The following is a 27,689-nucleotide window of genomic DNA, read 5'->3' on the forward strand; positions in this document are numbered from 1 at the left end:
CAGCCAATCTGATGGCAGAGGGAGACCGGTGCTTAGAAGCTTGTTTGGTGAGAGGGAATAAATAGAGGAGGCACAGAAATGGGGAACAAACATTTAACTAGTGAGAGAGATTTAAGACGAATGGGAAGAGAAATCTCGCAAAAAGGACACATTCATGCAGATCCTCAAAGATGGACACGCAGTCATCCCTACATGTAGAAATATGCTCAGTTACACATATAAAAACACAGATGCATGGAGAGCAAGCATACACACAGACGCATATCTCTACACATGCACTCCTGTGTGCCCAGATACACACACACTAAACATGCAAAACATGACAGCATTTACACATAGATATGCACCCTCACATGTGTGCAAATGTTACATCCTCACACAGAGACCCACATTCCAGTGTGCACATATCCACACAGGTACACAGCCATAGAACTGACATACATACACATCAACATATAATGTGCACATACAGACAGGCACGCGCAGATATATCTATGCACATAGACACATGTACTCAGTCATGCACATACACACACTTTCTAACACAAAGGTGATCAGTGTAGATGAATATTGTGAGCTCAGTGGCTTCCCAGACCTTCATCTTTTCCCTGCTCTTGTTTCAAAGGTGCTCAGCAGACTCCTGGCGAGGCTGTGTGAGGCAGGGGCAGGACCTTCAGAGTCCTCACAGCTTTGTGAGGCAAAAGTCTGAGTCCAGTCCTGGCCTCTGCTGCTCACCCACCACTGGGCTATTAATGCCCTGTCTGTAGGCGAGAGATTCTGCATAGACTAGTCTTGGGATTTTTTTCTAACTGGCCATTTTTCTCCTTGGCACACCCACTATCCCACTGGTAACGGCACACACTCTGCAAGGGAAACCTGAGAAATGGTTGTGAGTCTCCTCGGACAATAAGCATACCCTCCCACCCACAGCTACCTCAAGTGCCCAGCAAATCAGAACCAAAATTATAAATACTTACGACTTTACAGTAATTGGCAACACATATACTATAGTACTTACAGTACCTTAAATGCATCTGTTTCTCTGGTGAAGCAATCTCTGAGATGGAACAGTGTTCTGTGTTTGCCAAGGGAGACAGGGCCAATGCCCAGGACACTCAGGACGTAGGGGCATAAGGTGGCATATCGTGGGGGTTTCTGGTCGATCTGCAAGGCCCAGCTTCTCCACGAACAGTGGGCTGTAGTGAGAAGCTTGCCAAGGTATGCATACCGACTGGAGTTGGACTCTCCCCATCCTTAGCCCTGTGGTCCTTTGGCCTCAGCCACAGGTGCTCAGAGTCCTCCCAGGGTGGACAAATGTTTCAGTGTTTTTGGCCTGACCTGATACTACCTGGGGACCCAGGCTGCCGGGCCGGTGAGCTATCTGCTTTCTCAGTCAAAGGGCTCTCGAACCAGCAGCATCAGCTTTTTCTTGCCTTTGTAGATCGTTTGTGGTTGTTGATGAACAGGGCAAATTGCAGGTAGCCATCCTAAGGCAGCAGGAGGGTCTCCCGAGCCTTGCTTAGAAACTCAATGAACTGTCCATACTGGCAATGGCTAATGTGTGTTAGGTGTAGTGTGTGGTGTTGATGTAAGCATTGCATCAGCAACTGGTGCCATGGAGCTCTGTCAGTGGAGATGAGCTTTCCAGAGCTGTGGTGGCCCGGGGTGCCGGCCAGGCCAGGTGCAGTCACCGTGCAGCCTCGCACACAGGATGTCTGAAAGCACCATGGCAATGTGCGCACTCTTCACCACCAGGGGGATGAGAACTGCCAGCTCATTCTTGCCCAGAGAGTGGCTGAGGGCACAAACCCAGAGCACATCACTGATGGCTGGGTGGGTATCCTGGTTATGAGCCAGGTGAAGATGGCTCATGGCCAATGAGACCAGCTTGAAGGCGTGGAGCGTGTAGCCCTGGAGCTCCACGTAGCAGGCAATGGTGAACAGCTGTGAATGGGTCATGCCACCGGCAGCAGCCTCGGTGGCAATCTGGCAGGCTGCCTCAAAGGCAATGTGGTCTTTCTCACAGAGTGTAAGGGCTGACAGGGCACAGCTCTGTGGATGCTTCGTAGCACACTGCAGGGCCAGTGTGCAAGCACAGCTGGCCAATTCCTCCCGCTGTGGATAGTCAAGACTGAGGCGCAGGATAGTGGTGTGGGATACGGCTGTGGCAGCTACAATGCTAGCAGCCTCAGTAGGGGTGAAGAGTGTGTGCCAGCTCTGCAAGATGCTCCCTGAGGCCCACACACCTGTCGGGGAGAGCCTGAGCTCAGCCGTGGCCATCTCAGTCCTGATTCAGGTCGGCCCAGATTACCGTGTGGGGTTTGAACTTGGCCTGCAGAGATGAGTTCTCCCTCCTCCTCAGCAACCTTGACATGATCTGAGGCAAACCAGGGCAAGAGAAGCATCCCAGATGGCCAAACCTTGTTTGGGGTCTCTTCCTATCCCTTCCTTACCCAGGTCAGAGGGTTGAAGGTTTCTGCAGGTGCTCTCAGCCCCTCACAAGGATGGAGCAGTAGATCCTGGGGTTTGCTTAACCCAAGGCCAGGGTTGCAGATCTGCCAGGGGTTCTAGCTGAAGTGGGGCCTGTCAGGGTAGAGTCTTGTGCTGGGGCTTTGGGCTTTAGAAAGGGTCCTGAGCCTCCAAGGTGTCTGGAGTTTCTCACAAGCATGGACAGGGACGGGGACCAAACCACCAGGCCCACTACCTCCCAAGGGCACACTTGAGTATTGGCAGCTGAAAATTCATTCTCTTAGACATGTCTCTGATGAGAGGGTCAAAGTGCTGCTGACATCAGCATGTGGTTGGTTTAAGCAGTGAGGACAGAACTTGGGCTGGCTGAACAGAGGCTATCTTCTCCCACCAGCAGCCGCATCCTTTCTTAGGCCATCAGGAATAGGAATATGAGAGCTCCAAGGATTCGTTGTCCTGTCCCAAGAGTAGGGTATAGAAACTCCTTTCCCGTGGGAGTAGAGGGAGGTGGGCGATACCCACTTCTGTAGCACAGGTCACCAACCATCATACCATCTCTCCGCGTCTCCAGTTAAGGGATGATAAGGTCATCGCATCACCTGTAACCCAGGTTCCAGGGCCACGTTGAGCAGGGTGCTGTCAGTACTGTTAGTGGGAGTAGCAATCCTGAACGCATTTTGGGCCAGTTTGAAGATGAGGGGGGAAGAACGAATGTGCTTCTGCATTGCTTCCAGAATTGTTCAGAGCCTCAAAGTGTCTCCTTTGGCAGCAGTCAGCATGGTGGAGGCCAGTTCCCACCGCTGTGATTCCAAGTGTCCAAGCAAGAACCAGGGAGGATAATGGCTGGGCACCGGGGACACCATACAGTGAGTGAGGGATGTGTCGCCTGCACAACCTGAATTTTCTAAAACGGGTAACCTTATACACGTAAGCCTAATTTATAGGCAGGGTCTGGATCACGAGACAGCAGAGCTGAGAACAAATACTTGGCAGAGGTATGCATGGAAACGCTCTCTCGGTGGATGACTTCTCCCAGATCCCTGAAAGGGTCCCCTTCCAGCAGCAAGATGCACTATTTTTGGAGTGTTTGCACTGGGTCATCATCCAATTGCAGCTCTTGGAGGTGGCTGAGGAGCTGCTCCTCATTACGGCACACCTTGTCCTGTGCATAGGAGCCTTCAGGCATTACCCTCTGTGACCCAGGCCCATCGATGCAGCCTCCAGGGCCAATGACAAGTAGGACTCACTGCTGTTTGGGGAGCTTACAGCCACAGGTACATGTTGGTACACAGGGGGTCTGCTTTCATTCGTATCTAGATACCTGTCATCATTCAGGAGGCAGGCCTCAGTCAAAGTGAGAAACAGGCAGCCGATGGGATCCAGGGGGTGGCCCACCCAGCCTTCCAGGTTTGTGATGGTTGTGGTTCCCCTCTGCAGCACTTCTTTCTTCTGATGCTTGTAGATTTTCAGTTGCCACCGCTGCTGAACCTCAGAGTATTAATAATGGCCACTGTGAGTCTGAGGGCCTCTTTTGGATAACCATGGGAATGTGGGGCATCAACCCGAGCACAGGCTGTTGCACATGCTCAAACCACAGTGGCTGGCCTTGGGAATTAAAGAGTAGTCTTGGCCAGGCGTGGTGGCTCATGACTGTAATCCCAGCATTTTGGGAGGCCGAGGTGGGCGGATCATGAGGTCAGGAGATCAAGACCAACCTGGCCAACATGGAGAAACCCCGTCTCTGCTAAAAATACAAACAATTTAGCTGGGCGTGGTGGCGGGCCCCTGTAGTCCCAGCTACTCGGGAGGCTGAGGCAAGAGAATGGCGTGAACCCGGGAAGCGGAGCTTGCAGTGAGCCGAGATCGTGCCATTGCACTCTAGCCTGGGCGACAGAGCGAGACTCCATTTCAAAAAAAAAAAAAAAAAATTAGCTGGGCATGGCGGCACGTGCCTGTAATCCCAGCTATTCGGGAGGCTGAGGCAAGAGAATTGCTTGAACTCGGGAGGTGGAGGTTGCAGTGAGCCCAGATCGCACCACTGCACTCCAGCCTGGCAACAGAGCTACTAGACTGTCTCAAAAAAAAAAAAAATATTGCACAGATCCCTGAAAATACAATTATATAGATTTTCTTTTTTGTTTTGTTTTGTTTTGGCTTGGTTTTTTGAGATGAAGTTTCGCTCTTGCGCCCAGCCTGGAGCAGTGGCGCGTTCTTGGCTCACTGCAACATCCACCTCCCGGGTGGATTCTCCCACCTCAGCCTTTCAACCAAGAAGCTACTTTTTGTTTGTTTGGTTGGTTGGTTGGTTGGTTGGTTGCTTGTTTGTTGAGACAGAGCTTTGCTCTTGTCGCCCAGGCTAGAGTGCAATGGTAAGTTCTCGGCTCACTGCAACATCCGACTCCAGGCTTCAAGCGATTCTCCTGCCTCAGCCTCCCGAGTAGCTGGGATTACAGGCTCCCACCAGCAAGCCCGGCTAATTTTTTTGTATTTTTAGTAGAGACAGGTTTTCATGATGTTAGCCAGGCTGGTCTCAAACTCCTGACCTCAAGTGATCTGCCTGCCTTGGCCTCCCAAAGTGCTGGGATTGCAAGCATGAGCCACCGTGCCCAGCCTGATTATATACATTTTCAATAAACATATATGAAAATGGTCTCAGGCATTTTAATAATTAGAAGACCAAAATCAATAAAAATGTAATAACATTACCCACTAACCAGAATATATAAAAGAAAGACTGACAAAATCAGGTATTGGAAAGGACATCTAATTAGAATGCTCTTAAACTTGTGGTTGGGTTGTATATTAGTCAAAAAAATCTTTGGAATTAAAAAAATTAATTGATAAATTGTGTGTATTTGTGGTGTACCACATTATACATATATACACACACACAGACACGCATTGTAGAATAGTTAAATCTGTGTATATCTATATAGCCACAGACATACATTATAGAATGGCTAAATCAACTGACATAGCATATCAGTTAGCTTAGATACTTATCTTTTTTTTTTAATTTTTTTATTTTTAGATGGAGTCTCCCTCTATCACCCAGGCTAGAGTGCAATGGTGCAATCTCGGCTCAATGCAACCTCTGCCTCCCAGGTTCAAGCGATTCTCCTGTCTCAGCCTCCTGAGTGGCTGGGATTACAAGCGCCTGCCACCACGCTAGGCTAATTTTTGTATTTTTAGTAGAGATGGGGTTTCACCATCTTGGCAAGCTTCTGACCTCGTGATGCACCCACCTCGGCCTCCCAAAGTGCTGGGATTACAGGCATGAGCCACTGTGCCTGGCCAATCAATACTTATCTTTTTGTGTGTGTTTGGTGAGAACATTTAAAATCTGCTGTCTTAGCAATTTCAAATATTACCACATTTTTTTTTTTTTTGAGACGGAGGCTCACTCTGTCTCCCAGGTTGGAGTGCAGTGTCACGATCTCGGCTCACTGTAAGCTCCGCTTCCCAGGTTCACACCATTCTCCTCCCTCAGCCTTCCGAGTAGCTGGGACTACAGGCGCCCACCACCACGCCTGGCTAATTTTTTGTATTTTTAGTAGAGACGGGGTTTCACTGTGTTAGCCAGGATGGTCTCGATCTCCTGACCTCGTGATCCACCCGCCTCGGCCTCCCAGAGCGCTGGGATTACAGGCATGAGCCACTGCACCTAGCCTAAAAGTACTCATTTTTTATTCATCAATAATTAGTAATCTGACTCGTTTCAAAAATTTGGTTATTATTGACAACCTCTTTGAAGATCCATTTCACAAACTCAACAGAGTGCCACGATTAAGAGCTAGGGATCCCCCAAACTATCTCAAGCATCTAAAAAATTGCCATTTTTTAAAGGCTTAAATTGTAGTAGTAAAGGGGGAAAAAACCCATAAATCATCTAAAAAATTGCCATTTGTAAAGGCTTAAATTGTGTGTGTGTACACACACACACACACACACACACACACATCATTGACCTTTCTTAAGACTTCAGAGGGTGGAACTTCCGGATGTGACCACAGAGAGGGAGAGACCGGGAACGCGGAGCGCGGCCACCAGCACCCCCGAGCCGCCGCCGGACCCCCGCCGCCCCGGGCCGCCCCCCGCCCCCCGCGGTCCCAGGTCTGTGGGTCTGGGGACGGTTCGATTCCCCGCAGAGCCGGGGGAGGGACGGGGGCGCCCAGGGGAGGGGGCCTCGGGCGCCCCGCCCGCGCCTGCTGCCCCGTCCCGGCGGCAATGCGCTCCTGGCCGTGACCCCCGCTGGGGGCCGGGGCCGGGATCCATGCGCGGAGCCCCCACCCGGCCCGGCGCCTGCCGCTGACGGCGGCGGGGGCTGGGGGGCGCGCGTCTGGCCTCCTGCCCACCCCCTGGCGTCGACATCACGGGCCGTAGGGGTCTGCGGCCCCGGGCTGCGCCCTACCCCCCGGCCAGGCTCTGGAGGGACCCTGGAACTGCCGCCGGCCTCAGCCCATGGCCCGGAGGTACGATGAGCTGCCGCACTACCCAAGCATCGCGGATGGCCCCGCAGCCCTGGCTGGCTTCCCAGAGGCAGTGCCCGCGGCACCAGGGCCCTATGGCCCTCACCGGCCTCCCCAGCCCCTACCCCCAGGCTTGGACAGCGACGGCCTGAAGAGGGACAAGGATGAGATCTATGGACACCCGCTCTTCCCCCTCTTGGCCCTGGTCTTTGAGAAATGTGAACTGGCTACATGCTCTCCCCGTGATGGGGCCGGAGCTGGGCTGGGGACACCCCGCGGCGGCGACGTCTGCTCCTCTGATTCCTTCAACGAGGACAACACTGCCTTCGCCAAGCAGGTTCGCTCTGAGAGGCCCTTCTTCTCCTCCAACCCAGAACTGGACAATCTGATGATCCAGGCCATCCAAGTGCTGCGGTTCCACCTGCTGGAGCTGGAGAAGGGAAAGATGCCCATCGACCTGGTCATCGAGGATCGGGATGGCGGCTGCAGGGAGGACTTCGAGGACTACCCAGCCTCCTGCCTCAGCCTCCCAGACCAGAATAATATATGGATTCGAGACCATGAGGATAGCGGGTCTGTACATTTGGGGACCCCAGGTCCATCCAGCGGGGGCCTGGCCTCCCAGAGTGGGGACAACTCCAGTGACCAAGGAGTCGGGCTGGACACCAGCGTGGCCTCTCCCAGTTCTGGTGGAGAAGATGAGGACTTGGACCAGGAGCCACGGCGAAACAAGAAGAGGGGGATCTTCCCCAAGGTGGCCACCAACATCATGCGAGCCTGGTTGTTCCAGCACCTCTGGCACCCGTACCCCTCGGAGGAGCAGAAGAAACAGCTGGTGCAGGACACGGGGCTCACCATCCTGCAAGTCAACAACTGGTTCATTAATGCCCGGAGACGCATGGTGCAACCTATGATCGATCAATCCAACCGCATAGGGCAGGGTGCAGCCTTCAGCCCAGAGGGCCAGCCCATCGGGGGCTATACCGAGACAGAGCCACACGTGGCCTTCCGGCCTCCAGCATCAGTGGGGATGAGTTTGAACTTGGAAGGAGAATGGCATTATCTATAGAGGCTGATGCGGGAGAGACCCAGCCTCCGGCTGTGACCCCCAGCCTCACACCTGGCTCTGGTTCCCGCCTGGTCCTCCGGCTTCAGGACCCCACCTCCAAAGGCCTCTCCCCTCAACGCCTACCTCCCTAGGGCCCTGCTGGGACATGGGGGCCTGAGTGCCCACCCAAGGGGCTCTCAAAGACACCGGCAAGGCCTCCAGGCCCTGAGCCCCGCTTCTGCCTTCACCTCTGCCTGGGACCCGAGCTGGGCTCCTGGGCCTTGGTCCCCAGAAGATGGCAGCTAGGGCCTCGCCGCCAGGACAGAGAAGGGACAGGGTGGCTGGGCAGTCAGGGAAGGAGGGTCGCCCGGATCTGACATTTTGGAGAGATTCCTTCACCCTCCTGTCCCCCCCACCTCCCTTCTCTAATTTCTTCTTTTTTCAATGATAAAGTCTTAAAACACAGAAAAAAAAAGACTTCAGAGAATTAGGTAGATGAAGCACTTTATACAGTATATATCTTCAGCTTAAATTTGTTTTGAGTATTTTTTTTTATTTTTAAGTAGGCAAAGATTTAAAATTTTTTATTTTTAGTAAATGTTTGAAGCAAACTAAAAAGACTTGGGCAATATTTACCAAAACAAAACAGAACCCAAAAAATTGTACATCTTGATCTTAGCAAATATCCTTATTGTAGAGACATTTAATAAAGAGATGGTATTTTAATATCTGCAGTTCTGAGGTAGGGTGTAACTTAGTTCTACATTGTGATTTAGGAATTTTTAAACCTTTCTTCTTCAGGGGAGAAGTGACCCAGGCCTCGAGTTTAGTGCTAAAGCCACTAGTGTACTTATGCTGTCACCTAACCACCACATGCGACATGGAGGCAGAGGCTAAATATAGGGGCTTTCTTAAGAAAGTGAGAGGAAATTAGCAAGCATTATTAGTGTTTGACTACTGCTATCAAGTGAATTCAAAGGAAACAGGTTTTTATGCCATATTTAAGTTACAGAAACCGGCATGCTTAGAATAGTTTCTAAGGCGACAGAGTGAGACTCCATCTCAAAAAAAAAAAAAAAAAAAGAATAGTTTCTAGAGGTTATTGGAGAATAGAAAGCTAAGAAAACTTGGTATACATTTACAATTGAAATATAATTACACTTTTTACTCTCAGAATATTATTCAGATTAGACTTCCTGTTTATCTTTTATATTCTTGCATTGATATAATGCCTGATCCTTCAAAGTTCTTTCACATATTATATGATCTTCTTTATGAAAAAAAGTAGATGCTTTATTCTGATATATTCAGTTTCCCACTTAGGCAAAAGTGGATTAATAGAATGATGAATTCAAAGTAGATGAGGAAAATCAGGCACAGAGAAGTAGAGGTAGGGACAGACCCAAATTCACACAAGATAATGACATCGCCAGCGTTTAAGTTGATCATCAAAGGCTGGGCTGGATTTGTCTTGCTGTATGTGTCAGGAAATTTATACCTATTACATTTTCCATTTTCTCAAAATAAGTCACATGATTGTAATGTTTAGCTGCAACTTTTCTCCTAACAAATAGTGTCATGAAGAATGTTATAGTGTGAAGTTTGTACATTTCAGGGTCAGTTATACAATGTGACCTCTTTATCTACGGGAATGAGAATGGAGGATCATTGAAAGCCATGATATAAACAAATTTGCATGTTGAAGCCTGTATAAAACATGGTACAGTGAGTGAATGCCCCCATCCCCAAGAACACTTTATACATATTAAATGGATATATGATTACTGTGCAAAAATTCATTCTGGAAATGAACATATATTTGAGCACTAATATGTAATGTACATCTTCTGCCCTAAGGAGAAAATAAATCATAAAACTTGTTTTACATTCAAAATTACTTTCCCGAGCATGTCTTAGAGTAATCTACGTGTTGATGTATGTAAATTGTATTTTAGGTAGGCAAAGAAACATCTGGTTATTTATGTAAAAAACTAGTCTAATAAAGTGAGTGGCTTTATCACTTTGAATCTTTAGTGTCTAAAAGTGGTGTTTAAAGTAATACTAGCACATCAGAAAACCTTGTGTGGACAAAACTAGTTCACTCACTGCTTCTGCAACTGCAGTTCCTCCCCTTAGGGTTATAAAAAAAAAGGACCCAAATGTTACATGTGTTGATATTATGACTTGTCAGTTACTGATGTCTGTGGTATCCTACCCTCGTCTCTGAAGCGGATAATACTGAATAATTATTAGAAAACTACAAGACTTCACACTTTGTACCATTAAAACCTAAAATTTTAATCCTATCCTTTTTTATTACAGATCAATCAGCACTCAGGAACAGAGCAGCAAGGAAAAAAAGGAAATTTCATTCATATGTTCTGTGTTCATATCTCTTCAGTACCTAATTGTTCATTTAATTTCAGCCTTATTCCTTCATAAGGGGTTTTACCACATGAAGTCATCCGATGACCCTAGCTCTTATTGTGAAGTTAAAGATGAGTGGAGTATACTTACAAATGTTACAACTTAAAAATGTTACAAAACATTTATTAAAGCTCATATTTAAAGTAGAGCATCTAGTTTGAGAAGTAGACATCAATTATTAAAGATGTCTTTTTTCTACCCATTTAACTAGTTAAAACCATGACGTGTAAATGTAGAAGTAGAATAATCATATGGAATTCCCTAAAATATTTCTGTTTACTAACATATATTGACCAAGTACATCAAGCAGGAGAGATCTTCCTTCATTCTGTTATAGTCCACATCATTCTAATTTTGCTCAGTTGTTATTAAGAGCATATTCCTAAACCATACACTTTTGTTTCAATAAAGTTTTATTTTGTTGAGATGAATAAAATATCAAAGTTAAAAGCTACATGAGACAAAAGTTCAATTGTTCAAAAAATTTACTGGGATAGCTTTCTATTATAGGTATTGTTAAATTATATTGCTCTGATAAGATTACTTTCTTTAAAAAGTTTGTACTTTTCTGTAAATTGAAAGAATATGGAGTCATAAAATGGCAAGTGTTTTAGGGTTAGCCTAAAATTGGGCATTGTCATTGATTTCATAGACGGTATAAACTAGCAGGCTTACAGCCTAATTCTTCTTTGGACTGGTCTTTGGCAGCAGTTCCTTTTCAGACTCAATAAACAGAATTCAGACAGATGTAAGTCAAAATAAAACTTTACAAAGCCAAGTGTATTATCTTTTGCATTAACCTATTTTTTCCATCATACATGCTACTAGTATGTGCATTAGCATGATATTCTCATATACATTGCATTAAAAATTAAAAGGTGGCAGCTCAGGGTGAGCTCTTCTGTCATTCATTTGTTCCTAAATTTTTAAGGGCTTTTTCTCAGTCAATATTTGTATAAACTGGGTAGTTTAACTTCATTACCCATTTCATTAAAGTTGATGGATTGTGATGAGATGCATTTAAGGCCAATAGTGACAGATTTTTTTTTAATCTGTTGAACACAAGCGTTGAATGATAACTACAGGTTTTAAGTGCTGTTAACATTAATACCATAATGTGATGTGTTAGAACCAAAGGGATATTTTAAAGGTAGATATCTGAAAATTCTCTAGTCTCAATGTATATATGTATTGAATATACTCTAAAAATAAATGTGCAATTTGCTAGTAGGACAATGCAGTGATTAGCATTAGGTATGTTTCTTTTATATCCTAGCTATGTCCCACTTTCTTCTAAGTGCAATCCTTTCATGTTCACTTGCTGTTTTACCCCCCTACTCTAACATCAGTTGGAAGCCTTGTCTAGAGTACAGTATGTGTTTTTACCTTTGCAGTGAATTGCATGTGCTAATTGTAACCACAGCTATTTTTATGTTGACATAACTCCAAGTGTTATATTAAATGTTCTATTTTATATTAGCTCTAATCCCTTAAGTAAATTTTAAGAAATAAATTCTTGTTCAAAAAAAAAAAAAAGTGCTTCCTTGTCCTAAGGTCATGACAACTTTCATGTAAGTTAACTTAAATATGGAAGCTTTATTGGCTTGCCTTTAACATTTAATTTAGATCTACAATGCCCATGGAACTAATTTTTTCTGAATATGTTTGGTTGAATGAAGGCTTTTTTTTTTTTTTTTTTTTTTTGAGACGGAGTCTCGCTCTGTCGCCCAGGCTGGAGTGCAGTGGCGTGATCTTGGCTCACTCCAAGTTCCGCCTCCCAGGTTCACGCCATTCTCCTGCCTCAGCCTCCCGAGTAGCTGGGACTACAGGCGCCCGCCACCACGCCTGGCTAATTTTTTTGTATTTTTAGTAGAGTTGGGGTTTCACCGTGTTAGCCAGGATGGTCTTGATCTCCTGAACTCGTGATCCGCCTGCCTCGGCCTCCCAAAGTGCTGGGATTACAGGCATGAGCCACCGTGCCCGGCCGAAGGCTTATTTTTTTTCCATATTGATATCCAGTTGTCTTATCACTTTTTAGTGAAAAGACCATCCTTTCTTGTGCAGTGCCACCTTAACTATAAATTAAGTGTTCATAAAATGGGTGTCTATTTCTGGGCCTTCTCTTCTTTGCCATTGATCTCTTTTTCTATCACTTACCAGTATTCTATTAATATCCAGTAGAGCAAATCTTTCAATCTTGTTTTTCTTCTTAAAGATTAAGTTTTTGGTTATTCTTGGTCTTTAGTGTTTCCATATTAATGTCATTTATTAAGTATTTTTGCAATTTGATTTCCAACTTAATTGCTCTGTAGTAAGAAAACATACTTTGTATGATTTCAGTCCTTTTAAATTTGAGAGGTTTTTAGTGTATCTCAACATGTGGTAAATTTTAATAAATATTCTGTGTCTTCTTGAAAAGGATATATCTCCAAAAAAAGTTTTAATTTGAAAGATGTTCTATATATAAGTAGAAAAATAAGAGGAAACTCAGATCACAAAATATAGAAATGTCTATGGGGCAAAGAAAAATGCCAGAAACTTACCAAACTGTCTTAAGTGCAGGCTTCATCGCTGATCCCTGGCATAATACTCCTTCGCACAGAACTCCATAAGTATGTGCTGATGTTTTTAGGTATCAAAGTCATGTGACTTAGCATTACTTGAGACAAAATATTTTTTTCTTTTGCCTTGGGTGTACCAGCTGTTGGCTAATAACTCCAAGAATAGGATGTTATTAAACTTTAGAAACATTTGCTTTCAGGATCTGCCAGATCATCTTTTGGAGATCAGAAGCTTGAACTTTCCAGTTCATCCCAGCCTGGATCCAGTTATGATGTATATAACCTGTTCTGTATGTATCAGCACATTTCACCTGATTTGAGTCTACGTTTTCTTCCCTGCTCAGAAGTGACAAGACTGTATGGATCAGGTATGAAAATTTTTTATGCTTTTCCTCTTTGTGTTTCTCTTTAAGAAATGTAGAATTCGGGCCGGGCGCGGTGGCTCACGCCTGTAATCCCAGCACTTTGGGAGGCCGAGGTGGGTGGATCATGAGGTCAGCAGATCGAGACCATCCTGGCTAACACTGTGAAACCCCGTCTCTACTAAAAATACAAAAAATTAACCGGGCGTAGTGGCGGGCGCCTGTAGTCCCAGCTACTCGGGAGGATAAGGCAGGAGAATGGCGTGAACCCGGGAGGCGGAGCTTGCAGTGAGCCGAGATTGCGCCACTGCACTCTAGCCTGGGTGACAGAGCCAGACTCTGTCTCAAAAAAAAAAAGAAAAGAAATGTAGAATTCGAATCTAAGATCTGAGAATAAATAAATGATTCTTACTATTAAAGGCAATTTAAAAATAAGAAAAAAGCAAGCTTCCTAAATGTTGTGATAAATATTATGACTTCCCTGTAGTGTTATATCTAACATAAAAACTGAATTAATGAGTTATGTCTGTTTGTAGTCCTAAATTCCACTGTAGTTTTCCTTTTTTGAAAGAAGTTTTGGTTCAAGAGATCTTTTGTACAGCATAGGGACTATAATAGTTAATTATGATATATTCTTAAAAAGTGCCAAAAGAGTGGATATTAGGTGTTCTCAAATCGCTTTTTCTTATCACTCAAAAGTGGTAACTATGTGCAGTAATACATTTGTAAATTAGCTAGATTTAATCATTCCACAATGTATACATACTTTAAAACATGTTGTACACGATGAATACATACAATAAAAAAGAAAGAAATTAGCTGCATGCCAGATACAAGAGAAAAAACATGAAAAAGAAAGAAATTCTGTTTTCAAATTATTTTGTGTTGTTGTTGTTGTTACAGGGTCTCACTTTGTCCCCCAGGCTGGAGTGCAGTGGCGTGATCTCACCTCACTGCAGCATCACCCTCCCAGGATCGAGGGATTCTCACACCTTGGGACCCCCACCCCCCAGCAGCTGGGACTACAGGCATGTGCCACAGGCACACGCCTGAGTAATTTTTTTGTATTTATTGTTGAGACAGGGTTTCACCATGTTACCCAGGTTGGGCTCGAAGTCCTGGGCTGAAGCAATTCCCCTGCCTTGGTCTCCCAAATTGCTGGGATTACAAGCGTGCACCACTGCACCCAGCCCAGAATATTTTGCATACATTTTGCCTGTCATTTGTCTATTTATAAATTCTACAACAGATATTCGTACATAGATATGTTGTACAAAACACAATATTTTTTCATTTCTTCTGTATTCAGTGAAAATGATAAATTTAGAAACTCATGATGTGATTAGAAATATAAACAAAGAAAATGCTTAAATGATTATTGAACTTTTTTAGTTTCATATTTGAGACTGTATGAATTATAGTCTACCATGTTTGCCTGTGATTCACAAAATTCTGTTTTTCAGGGTATATATATATATCAACCACTGAATTTAGTGTCAGGTACTGAAAATAAAGAAGAAATACTTATTTAAGGGCCTGCCTTGCGTTCACTACTGCGCTAGCATATACATTTAACATGCAAAGTTCCTTTCATCAGAGTTCCTACAGTTTAGAAGGGAAACTAAAATTACAGACGAGAAATATAGGAGCATATGGGATTCAGTATTGATTTTTTATTTTTTTATTTTTTGAGACAGTCTTGCTCTGTTGCCACGCTGGAGTGCAATGGCGCAATCTCGACTCACTGCAACCTCCGTCTCCGGGATTCAAGCGCTTCCCCTGCCTCAGCCTCCCGAGGAGTTGGGACTACAGGCCCGCACCACCACGCCCGGCTAATTTTTTGTATTTTAGTAGAGACGGGGTTTCGCCATGTTGGCCCGGATGGTCTCACTCTCCTGACGTCGTCATCCACCCGCCTCGGCCTCTCAAAGTGCTGGGATTACAGGCGTGAGCACCGCGCCCGGCCTCAGTATTGATTTTTTTTTTCATGTACGAATTCACATTTTACTCTCTCAAGTATTTTCCCCATGATTGATACTCACATGTATTTTCCCTGAAGTACTTACTGTTCTCTGCATTGAAATAACAAGGTAACTACCCCTGGAGACCTCTCTAAATGTCCTAGAAGAGGTAAAGGGTACAATTAGAGTAATAGACCATCTATTGCCACTGACTAAGGTTGAAGTCAAAATTAGCACTCATCTTTATCTGCTCCATCCAGTTTGTTTCCAAACCTTCAGAGATTTTTTTGTTTTTATTTATTTATTTTTATTTATTTATTTATTTTATTATACTTTAAGTTCTAGGGTACATGTGCACAATGTGCAGGTTTGTTACGTATGTATACATGAGCCATGTTGGTGTGCTACACCCATTAACTCATCATTTACATTAGGTATATCTCCTAATGCTATCCCTCCCCCCTCCCCCCACCCCACGACAGGTCCTGGTGTGTGGTGTTCCCCACCCTGTGTCCAAGTGTTCTCATTGTTCAATTCCCACCTATGAGTGAGAGCATGCGGTGTTTGGTTTTCTGTCCTTGTGATAGTTTGCTCAGAATGATGGTTTCGAGCTTCATCCATGTCCCTACAAAGGACATGAACTCATCCTCTTTATGACTGCATAGTATTCCATGGTGTATATGTGCCACATTTTCTTAATCCAGTCTATCATTGATGGACATTTGGGTTGGTTCCAAGTCTTTGCTATTGTGAATAGTGCCACAATAAACGTACGTGTGCATGTGTCTTTATAGCAGCATGATTTATAATCCTTTGGGTATATACCCCTTAAAGGGATGGCTTGGTCAAATGGTATTTCTAGTTCTAGATCCTTGAGGAATTGCCACACTGTCTTCCACAATGGTTGAACTAGTTTATAGTCCCACCAACAGTGTAAAAGTGTTTCTATTTCTCCATATCCCCTCCAGCACCTGTTGTTTCCTGACTTTTTAATGATCGCCACTCTAACTGGTGTGAGATGGTATCTCATTGTGGTTTTGATTTGCATTTCTCTGATGGCCAGTGATGATGAGCATTTTTTCATGTGTCTGTTGGCTGCATAAATGTCTTCTTTTGGGGAGTGTCTGTTCATTCCTTCGCCCACTTTTTGATGGGGTTGTTTGATTTTTTCTTGTAAATTTGTTTAAGTTCTTTATAGATTTTGGATATTAGCCCTTTGTCAGATGGGTAGATTGCAAAATTTTTCTCCCATTCTGTAGGTTGCCTGTTCACTCTGACAGTAGTTTCTTTTGCTGTGCAGAAGCTCTTTAGTTTAATTAGAACCCATTTGTCAATTTTGGCTTTTGTTGCCATTGCTTTTGGTGTTTTAGACATGAGGTCCTTGGCCATGCCTACGTCCTGAATGGTATTGCCTAGGTTTTCTTCTAGGGTTGTTAGGGTTTTAGGTCTGACATTTAAGTCTTTAATCCATCCTGAATTAATTTTTGTATAAGGTGTAAGGAAGGGATCCAGTTTCAGCTTTCTACATATGGCCAGCCAGTTTTCCCAGCACCATTTTTAAATAGGGAATCCTTTCCCCATTTCTTGTTTTTGTCAGGTTTGTCAAAGATCAGATGGTTGTAGATGTGTGATATTTTTTCTGAGGGCTCTGTTCTTTCCATTGGTCTATATCTCTGTTTTGGTACCAGTACCATGCTGTTTTGGTTACTATAGCCTTGTAGTATAGTTTGAAGTCAGGTAGCTTGATGCCTCCAGCTTTGTTCTTTTGGCTTAGGATTGTCTTGGCAATGCAGGCCCTTTTTTGGTTCCATATGAACTTTAAAGTAGTTTTTTTCCAATTCTGTGAAGAAAGTCATTGGTAGCTTGATGGGGATGGCATTGAATCTATAAATTACCTTGGGCAGTATGGCCATTTTCACGATATTGATTCTTCCTATCCATGAGCATGGAATGTTCTTCCATTTGTTTATGTCCTCTTTTATTTCATTGAGCAGTGGTTCGTAGTTCTCCTTGAAAAGGTCCTTCACATCCCTTGTAAGTTGGATTCCTAGGTATTTTATTCTCTTTGAAGCAATTGTGAATGGGAGCTCACTCATGATTTGGCTCTCTGTTTGTCTACTATTGGTGTATAAGAATGCTTGTGATTTTTGCACATTGATTTTGTATCCCGAGACTTTGCTGAAGTTGCTTATCAGCTTAAGGAGATTTTGGGCTGAGACGATGGGGTTTTCTAAATATACAATCATGTCACCTCCAAACAGGGACAATTTGACTTCCTCTTTTCCTAATTGAATACCCTTTATTTCTTTGTCCTGCCTGATTGCCCCGGCCAGAACCTCCAACACTATGTTGAATAGGAGTGGTGAGAGAGGGCATCCCTGTCTTGTGCCAGTTTTCAAAGGGAATGCTTCCAGTTTTTGCCCATTCGGTATGATATTGGCTGTGGGTTTGTCATAAATAGCTCTTATTATTTTGAGATACGTCCCATCAATGCCTAATTTATTGAGTGTTTTTAGCATGAAGGGCTGTTGAATTTTGTCAAAGGCCTTTTCTGCATCTATTGAGATAATCATGTGGTTTTCGTCTTTGGTTCTGTTTATATGCTGGATTACGTTTATTGATTTGCGTATGTTGAACCAGCCTTGCATCCCAGGGATGAAGCCCACTTGATCATGGTGGATAAGCTTTTTGATGTGCTGCTGGATTCGGTTTGCCAGTATTTTACTGAGGATTTTTGCATCGATGTTCGTCAGGGATATTGGTCTAAAATTCTTTTTTTGTTGTGTCTCTGTCAGGCTTTGGTATCAGGATGATGCTAGCCTCATAAAATGAGTTAGGGAGGATTCCCTCTTTTTCTATTGATTGGAATAGTTTCAGAAGGAATGGTACCAGCTCCTCCTTGTACCTCTGGTAGAATTCGGCTGTGAATCCGTCTGGTCCTGGACTTTTTTTGGTTGGTAGGCTATTAATTATTGCCTCAATTTCAGAGCCTGTTATTGGTCTATTCAGGGATTCAATTTCTTCCTGGTTTAGTCTTGGAAGGGTGTATATGTCCAGGAATTTATCCATTTCTTCTAGATTTTCTAATTTATTTGCATAGAGGTGTTTATAGTACTCTCTGATGGTAGTTTGTATGTCTGTGGGATTGGTGGTGATAACCCCTTTATCATTTTTTATTGCGTCTATTTGGTTCTTCTCTCTTTTCTTCTTCATTAGTCTTGTTAGCAGTCTATCAATTTTGTTGATCTTTTCAAAAAACCAGCTCCTGGATTCATAGACATTTTGAAGGGTTTTTTGTGTCTCTATCTCCTTCAGTTCTGCTCTGATCTTAGTTATTTCTTGCCTTCTGCTAGCTTTTGAATGTGTTTGCTCTTGCTTCTCTAGTTCTTTTAATTGTGACGTTAGGGTGACAATTTTAGATCTTTCCTGCTTTCTCTTGTGGGCATTTAGTGCTATAAATTTCCCCCTACACACTGCTTTAAATGTGTCCCAGAGATTCTGGTATGTTGTGTCTTTGCTCTCATTGGTTTGACTTTTAACAATTTTCACTTGAGCACCCACTTGAATATGCTTTTGTCTGGCCATAAAAATCCCACATGGGCACCCTCAGTTCACTAAATACTGCTGTAAACTCATATGACAGGGTCTCCAGTAAATGAGCAAGTTTCTTTTCTCGGCATCTTGGCTGAGCCACAGCACGAAAAGGCACACCTATCTTGTGATGTGCCTCAAGAGCCTATGAAGGAAGTTCTGCTGCAGCTGGTCACTGCCTTTTTCTCTGAACTTTCTGATAATGTCTACCTTTTCAATGTCAAGGTCACTTGCATTAGCCTATATTAAAAAGTTGCATTTTATCATGAATATAAAAAGATCAGTCCAAACCAATTCCAGACAGAATATAGGCACAAAGAAATTCATATTATCCGGGAAAAATCACTCATATTTTTCTTTTCTTCTTTTTTTTTTTTTTTTTTTTTTTTGAGGCTGAGTCTCGCTCTGTCGCCTAGGCTGGAGTGCAATGACGCTATCTCAGCTCACTGCAACCTCTGCCTCCCAGGTCCAAGCGATTCTCCTGCCTCAGCCTCCTGAGTAGCTGGGATTATAGGCATGCACCACCACGCCTGGCTAATTTTTGTATTTTTAGTAGAGACGGGGTTCCACCTTGTTGGCCAGGCTGGTCTCGAATTCCTAACCTCGTGATCCGCCCACCTCAGCCTCTCAAAATGCTGGGATTACAGGTCTGAGCCACTGTGCCTGGCCATTTTTTTTTTTCGTTTCTTTTCTTTTCTTTCTTTCTTTTTTTTTTTTTGAGACGGAGTCTCACTCTGCTGCCCAGGTTGGAGTGCAGTGGGGCAATCTTGGCTCACTGCAAGCTCCGCTTCCCCGGTTCATGCCATTCTCCTGCCTCAGCCTCTCGAGTAGCTGGGAGTACAGGTGCCCGCCACCACGCCCGACTAGTTTTTTTTTTTTTTTTTTTTTTTTGGTATTTTTAGTAGAGACTGGGTTTCACCGTGTTAGCCAGGATGGTCGTGATCTCCTGACCTCATGATCCACCCACCTCGGCCTCACAAAGTGCTGGGATTACAGGCGTGAGCCACCGCGCCCGGCCACGCCCGGCCATTTTTCATATTTCACAAGCTGAAAAAAAGTTATAATTGTCCTTTAAAAATACATGACTAGGCCGGGCGCGGTGGCTCACGCCTGTAATCCCAGCACTTTGGGAGGCCGAGGCGGGCGGATCACGAGGTCCGGAGATCGAGACCATCCTGGCTAACACTGTGAAACTCCGTCTCTACTAAAAATACAAAAAATTAGCCGGGCGCAGTGGCGGGCGCCTGTAGTCTCAGCTACTAGAGAGGCTGAGGCAGGAGAATGGCATGAACCCGGGAGGTGGAGCTTGCAGTGAGCCGAGATAGCGCCACTGCAGTCCGGCCTGGGCGAAAGAGCGAGACTCTGTCTCAAAAAAAAAAAAAAGAAAAAGAAAGAAAAATTAATGTCTGTGGCATATGCCTGTAATCCCACCTACTCGAGAGGCTGAGACAGGAGAATCGCTTGAACCAGGGAGTTGGAGGTTGCGGTGAGCCAAGATCACACCAGTGCACTCCAGGCTGGCAACAGAGCGAGACTCTTTCTCAATAAAAAAAAGGCCGGGCGCGGTGGCTCACGCCTGTAATCCCAGCACTTTGGAAGGCCGAGGTGGGAGGATCATGAGGTCAGAAGATCGAGACCATCTTGGCTAACACGATGAAACCCCGTCTCTACTAAAAATACAAAAAATTAGCCGAGCGTGGTGGCGGGCACCTGTAGTCCCAGCTACTCAGGAGGCTGAGGCAGGAGAATGGCGTGAACCCGGGAAGCGGAGCTTGCAGTGAGCCGAGATTGCGCCACTGCACTCCAGCCTGGGCGACAGAGCGAGACTCTGTCTCAAAAAAAAAAAAAACCACCACCACCACCACCAACAAAAAACTTGTGTAATCAATCTAGGTGCAAGAAAAAAAAAACAATAAAATATGAAGCTGAGGTCTTTCAAGCCAGTAATATGATATTGCCTTTTTAATTTCAAAAAACATGTTATGGCTAATGAATACATGAACATGTAATTCATTCAGATTAAAATATTTACAGTACAATATTTGTGTTTAGAACTCATAGTAACACATTTTATGCAGCAATCTCTGTCAAATTCATTAGTTTGATTTATACCCAGTGTATAATACACAAACACTGCACACTAACAATCATGTCAACTAAATTATTTTATTGAATAATTAAATGAACATGCCTGATAAAAACATAACTCTGTCAAATTCAAATGAAGTCTTATCTAAGTATTTTCACATTTTAGGAGTATAGCGTATCTCTATGTATGTCACTGAAAGCCAGAATTATAATTAAGGTTTATTTTTTGCAGGTAGCTAACAAGAAATTTCTTTGCCACAAATGAGTTTGCCAAGGCTACTTTGGTCAAAAGGTTTCTGTCCTCGGCTCCCCTGTTGCCACTACTGCTGGGTAATGGTTACACTAATCCTCTTTGCATGAGAGGTCCTGATGTGTTTGCTAAACCCAGATCGCTGAAGCACTGGTCTGGTGACTATATTTTTTGAGAACCACTGCTCTAAAGCACCTAAATTATGTTTTCTGAAACGTTCCCTTCAGGCAAAATGGACTAGTAAAATTTTTGCTGGGTAACTGAGACACAAAATAATGGCCTTAAAACCTTTTATCCTAATGCTTTGACTTTCTCTCTAATGTGGCTTCTACCACTTGTACCTAGAACAATTAACCACATCCTCAACATCAAATTATATTTATAAGGCATATTCAATATGTTGACAGATTTAAGCTTATAGAATGACCAAAATAGAATACAGATAGGAAGCACCATAAATGTAACAAAACCACTTCAAAAATGTACCCTGCCATAGCCCTAGTAGTTTAACTAAAATCTTAAGCGACAATGAATTTAAGCTCAATTTGGGGGGTTAAAAAACAACAGATAAAATTTAGGAATTATTTTTTTAGACGTATGGAGTATTAGGCTGCTCATCTGAAATTATTCTCATCATTCTGAAACCTGTTGCTGTACAGCCCTGAGAGCTAATTTGTAAAGGGTTATTAAAAAAACAAACATGAAAACAAAACAAAATACCTAAAATACTCGCTGGCTGCCCTTCGTGGAAGGTGTTTGCCACCCCATGCACTGCAGAATCCTCTAGCTGTGGTTACTGAGCCTGGCTCTGATTGTTTTGAGGTGGCCATGGTGAGAACCGCTCACAGGCAGATAGTTTGCCATCTTTGATCTGAAAGTTGAATTCCCTATTTTGTTGAGAACCTCACATAATAAATTATTCTTTTGGACCTCCATATTGTGTAATTCAGTACACTCCACTGATGGCTTTCATTGGAATATATATTATATAAAGAATACATCAATATTTCTGTTCCTGGCCATATATTCCTGTGTATACTATAAAAGATTGGTTTTGACATAGACAGTCTTCTTGAAATTCTGCTTTGTCAAGGATATTAATAATATAGTTTGTTTTATTAAAATCCTATTTTCCCCATCTTCTCTCTGCTTGACCCAATTCCAGTCATTCCACAAGCACAGCTTCATTCCATTAACATTGATGCAGCCCCTTCTGGGTATCACTCACTGTGCTGGAGGCTGGGAGAAAACAGTGAACAGGACAGGCCTGGCCCTGCCCTCACTGAGTGGACAGTGCTCCCACACTTTCTTACTTCTATGAGGAAGGAATATATTTCACAGGAAACATCCTAAAATCCTAGAAACTACAGTGACAATTTACAGCTCAGAATGGAAGAAGTAGGCAGAAAAAGGCTCGCCTTTCTTGAAAGTGTCCAGAAGGCAAGAATGAAAAGAAACAAGGGAATCTTAATACACCAATCTACCTTCACATAACATTTACAAATATGCATCAGAAAGTGCCCAATCATGGTTCAAGAAATCCTCAAGTTAGCCGACACAACTGAACAGCAACTCAACAGGGAGAGTCCAAATTGAGACTAGAGGTCAGGAAATGCATCTCCAAGGAGTCATATTTAAGCAGAGACTTGAATGGTGGGATGTAAACAGACAGGTGGAAAAAATGGGAAGAAGCATTTTCAGCAGGTAAACCCACGTGCAAAGGGTGAGAAGAGAGTGTGGCTCAGTGGACTGAAAGGCGGCCTGGTGGGGAGGAGGCAGGAGGTGAAACGAAGGCTGTCAGGAGGTGAGATGGTGAACCTTGCTGAGAAGTGTGTGCTATCTTAGAAGCAATGGAAAGCTGCTGAATGTTGTAAACAAGCAACCAATTATATCTAATTTGCATTTTTCAAAGGTAACTTAGCAGCAATGTGGAGAACATAATGTACTACTGAGTTCAGAGACAGGGAGACCTACAGTAAGAAAGCAATTGCAGAAAGCGAGGTGAGTGCAGCTTTGCATTAAGTGGGTGAGTAGAGCTAGAGAGAATGAAATGCAGTTGAGTATAATGTGGAGATAAAGTATTCAGAATTTGCTATTTACTGGATGTGTCAAGGATGACTCCCAAGTCTCTAGTGTAAGTTCCTGGTGAATGACAGAACCACTAACAGAGACAAGGAATAGGGAAGGAAGAGTAGGCTTAGGGGTGTGTGAGCCAGGTGAAGAAAGCAAGTTGGGACTTGTTACATTTTAAGTGCTTGTGAGACAACAATGTTACTTGTTAGAGATGCCTTTGTGTTCTAGTCACTGGTCCTATTGTCCAACTCTGAGGTCTTTCAGTCATCATAGGTCATTTCAGGCTTCAAAGTCTGGTAACAATCAATGATAGACTGGATAAAGAAAATGTGGCACATACACACCATGGAATACTATGCAGCCATAAAAAAAGGATGAGTTCATGTCCTTTGCAGGGACATGGATGAAGCTGGAAACCATCATTCTCAGCAAACTAACACAGGAACAGAAAACCAAACACTGCATGTTCTCACTCATAGGTGGGAGTTGAACAATGAGAACACATGGACACAGGGAGGGGAACATCACACACTGGGGCCTGACAGTGGGGGGGCTAGGGGAGGGATAGCATTAGGAGAAATACCTAATGTAGATGACAGGTTGATGGGTGCAGGAAACCACCATGGCATGCATATACCTATGTAACAAACCTGCACATTCTGCACATGTATCCTAGAACTTAAAGTGTAATTGAAAAAAAAAAAAAAAGCACAAAGTCTGGTAACAATGCCTGGTATTTAAAAATAGCATTTTAAGCCGGGAGCGGTGGCTCAAGCCTGTAGTCTCAGCACTTTGGGAAGCCAAGGCGGGTGGATCACGAGTCAGGAGATTGAGACCATCCTGGCTAACATGGTGAAACCTCGTCTCTACTAAAAATACAAAAAGTTAGCCCGGCGAGGTGGCAGGTGCCTGTAGTCCCAGCTACTCGGGAGGCTGAGGCAGGAGAACGGCATGAACCCGGGGGGCGGAGCCTGCAGTGAGCCGAGATTGCGCCACTGCACTCCAGCCTGGGGGACAGAGCGAGACTCTGTCTCAAAAAAAAAAAAAAAAAAAAAAGTATTTTAAGGCTGGGCGCGGTGGCTCATGCCTGTAATCCCAGCACTTTGGGAGGCCGAGGCGGGCAGATCACGTGGTCAGGAGATCGAGACCATCCTGGCTAACACTGTGAAACCCCGTCTGTACTAAAAATACAAAAATTAGCCGGGCGTGGTGGCGGGCGCCTGTAGTCCCAGCTACTTGGGAGGCTGAGGCAGGAGAATGGCATGAACTCGGGATGCGGAGCTTGCAGTGAGCCGAGATTGCACCACTGCACTCCAGGCTGGGTGACAGAGTGAGACTCCGTCTCAAAAAAAAAAAAAAAAAAAATAGCATTTTAAATGCATGAAAGTTACATATCTTTAACTTAATTTAGTTATTGCTATGTAATCCAACTATGCTGGTTCTGCTATACCTTATTAAATGTGTATTCATGTGTCTCAACATTTTCTTTCAACAAATTCTTAGTTACACTCTTAGACGAATAGTTTGCTAGCAAGTTTAATTTGGGAAGTGATTAAAAATAAATCAGTGACTAATTGCATAATAACTTTAACAGGAATTAGAAAAAATAAAATAGTATTAAAATAGGATCTCATATCGAAAAGTATGAGAGGGTGCTGTGTTTCATATGATTCTAGGATTACTAATACTACTTTCCTACTTAACATCAAATAAAAAGCTTAAGGCTATTAAAGTTTAGAGAAATGTATCCCATTTATTCTTAGATCAAAATATATCCTCTATTCATATGTTTGAATAAACTGAGAATCAGAATCTCATTCTCAAATTTGGCTACAAATAAATCCACATCTTCCCTCACCTGCACCAGCTCTTCAGCACCTGGACACAGGACCGTGCTTCGCACATCTTGCTCAGCACCGTGCCCTGCACAGGGGAAAAGTTCCATGAGCAGATATTGAACCGAATTGAGCTAGTGTTCTTTTCTCTTTTCTTTGCTTTGCTTTGCTTCGCTTCGCTTCTTTTCCTTCCTTCCTTCCTTTCCTTCCTTCCTTCCTTCCTTCCTTCCTTCCTTCCTTCTCTCCCTCCCTCCTTCCTTCCTTCCTTCTCTCTCTCTGTCTTTCTTTCCTATTATATCTCCCTTTCTTTTATTTCCTTTTTTTTTTTTTTTTGGCGGAGTCTCGCTCTGTCTCCCAGGCTGGAGTGCAGTGGCACACAATCTCGGCTTACTGTAACCTCCACCTCCTAAGTTCAAGCAATTCTCCTACTTCAGCTTCCTGAGGAGCTGGGATTACAGGTGCGCACCACCACGCCCAGCTATTTATTTTTATTTTTAGTAGAGATTAAGTTTCACCATGTTGGTCAGGCTGGTCTTGAACCCCTAACCTCAAGTAATGCACTCGCCTTGGCCTCCCAAAATGCTGGGATTACAGGCATTAGCCACCACGCCCGACCTGAGCTAGTGCTTTTTCTAATTAGCTTGACTATTTTCTGTGTTTTCCACACTGGGAGTAGATAACAAGGAGCAGCATTCTCTCATATGACTAAACATCAGTATTAGCTTCCAGGTTTTCCTTCATCAGGGAAGGTGACTACATCCACTTTCCTCCCATGTTGTTATCTTCCCATTAATGCATTTTCTAAACTCAAATCTACTCAGAGCAGGCCCGGTACTGAATAGAAGGAGGTTCTATAGGTAGCCTCTTTTTTCTCCATATGCTCCCTAAACATTTCAAAATACATATTCTTTATTTTTACAGAATAACAGGTTTATAAATATTAACATGTATTGATGCTGTTAAATAAAACCTATTTTTTTCCACTGAAGCAGCCAATTTTTTTTTTTTTTTTTTGAGATGGAGTCTCACTCTGTCACCCAGGCTGGAGTGCAGTGGCACGATCTCGGCTCACTGCAAGCTCCGCCTCCTGGGTTCACACCATTCTCCTGCCTCAGCCTCCCGAGTAGCTAGGACTACAGGCACCCGCCACCACGCCCGGCTAATTTTTTGTATTTTTAGTAGAGACAGGGTTTCACCGCGTTAGCCAGCATGGTCTTGCTCTCCTGACCTCGTGATCCGCCCTCCTCGGCCTCCCAAAGTGCTGGTATTACAGGCGTGAGCCACAGTGCCCGGCCTTTTTTTTTTTTTTTTTTGAGATGGAGTCTCACTCTGTTGCCCAGTCTGGAGTGCAGTGGTGTGATCTCGGCTCACTGCAAGCTCCGTCTCTCAGGTTCACACCATTCTTCTGCCTCAGCCTCCCAAGTAGCTGGAACTACAAGCGTATGCCACAATGCCGGGCTAAATTTTTTTTATTTTTAGTAGAGGCAGGGTTTCACTGTGTTAGCCAGAATGGTCTCAATCTCCTGACCTTGTGATCCACCTGCCTCAGCCTCCCAAAGTGCTGGGATTACAGGCATGAGCCACCGCGCCCAGCCCAATCTTTTTTTTTTCTTTCTTTCTTTTTTCTGAGATGCCATACTCAGAGCCATCTGAGTGTCAGAAAACAGGACCACCCCTCACAGGAAATCCTCTTGTTGATTTGAAGGGCATTAGTTTTATTAACGCCTACTCTGAAGCAGGTACTTTGCTAAACCCTGGAAATTTAAAGATGAATAAGACTCAATTCAAGTCTACCCAGGAAGTTAACTTCTAAAGTAACTAAAGACAGGATTATCAAGGTCTTCCATAAAAAACTAAGTTCTACGTGAACAGCTATTTAAAGGGCTGAAAAAAGTCATGTTCAATGTCAGTTTGGTTTTGCAACATGTCATGCCAACATTGATTTCAGCTGGGGATAAGCAATACTATATGCATATCTGTACACTTCCATCCTCATCCCAATCCTGCTGTTGAGGTTCCAGGCCAAAGGGAGGAAGCTCTGGAACCTGGCTTCAAAGGGAGGCTGGAGTCTGTAGTGCACCATGCTGCCTGCATTTGTGTTTCTTTTGAAAACCCTGGGAGATAAAAGAGAAAGGAATCAATGAGTCTGCAGAATATCTGGTGCCAGCTGCAGGCATGAGAACAAGCACAGTGCAGAGCCTGGGCTGCACCTGGGTCCACACAGAAACACCATCAGAACAGGGAGGACAAAGTGGAGGAGTTTACTGTGAGGTCAGGCACTGCTGCTCCACAGAGGGCAAGACTGCAGATGTGCCACATTAGCGATCAGAGATTTAAACAGTTGCCCCGAGGGGATGGGGCATTTCGGGCAGAACAAACCTCCATGCAGGGCACAGAGGCACGGAAGGACACTGTGAGCTTACAGGGCAGTGCAACAGGATGGAACTTGTATTTTAGGAAACTACAGAGAGCTGCAGAGAGCTGAGTCTTGGGAGGTGGGCTGGGCCACATTGTAAGGGGCCTTGAATATCAAAATATGGAGCAGAGACTGGCTC

General features: G+C 44.0%; 2 pseudogenes, besides 2 other annotated features; one reads left to right on the forward strand and one right to left on the reverse strand.

Annotated features, from left to right (window-relative positions):
- Positions 1 to 1,195: 1,195 nt before the first annotated feature.
- On the reverse strand, positions 1,196 to 4,097 carry ZSWIM5P2 (zinc finger SWIM-type containing 5 pseudogene 2; annotated as a pseudogene).
- Positions 1,872 to 2,409: an enhancer, noted in NCBI's record as "H3K27ac-H3K4me1 hESC enhancer chr17:20487547-20488084 (GRCh37/hg19 assembly coordinates)". NCBI's record gives its function as "activates a minimal SCP1, AML or CMV promoter by ChIP-STARR-seq in naive and primed H9 embryonic stem cells {active_cell/tissue: H9 hESC(naive and primed)}" and the evidence as "EXISTENCE:reporter gene assay evidence [ECO:0000049][PMID:30033119]".
- Positions 3,746 to 3,945: a silencer, noted in NCBI's record as "fragment chr17:20489421-20489620 (GRCh37/hg19 assembly coordinates)". NCBI's record gives its function as "represses an EF-1alpha promoter that drives an FKBP-Casp9 reporter gene in an ReSE screen in phorbol 12-myristate 13-acetate-treated (for megakaryocytic differentiation) K562 erythroleukemia cells {active_cell/tissue: K562(+PMA)}" and the evidence as "EXISTENCE:reporter gene assay evidence [ECO:0000049][PMID:32094911]".
- On the forward strand, positions 6,488 to 8,453 carry MEIS3P2 (Meis homeobox 3 pseudogene 2; annotated as a pseudogene).

The sequence above is a fragment of the Homo sapiens genome, chromosome 17 (assembly GCF_000001405.40).
Source record: "Homo sapiens chromosome 17, GRCh38.p14 Primary Assembly".
NCBI classification, from domain to species: domain Eukaryota; kingdom Metazoa; phylum Chordata; class Mammalia; order Primates; family Hominidae; genus Homo; species Homo sapiens.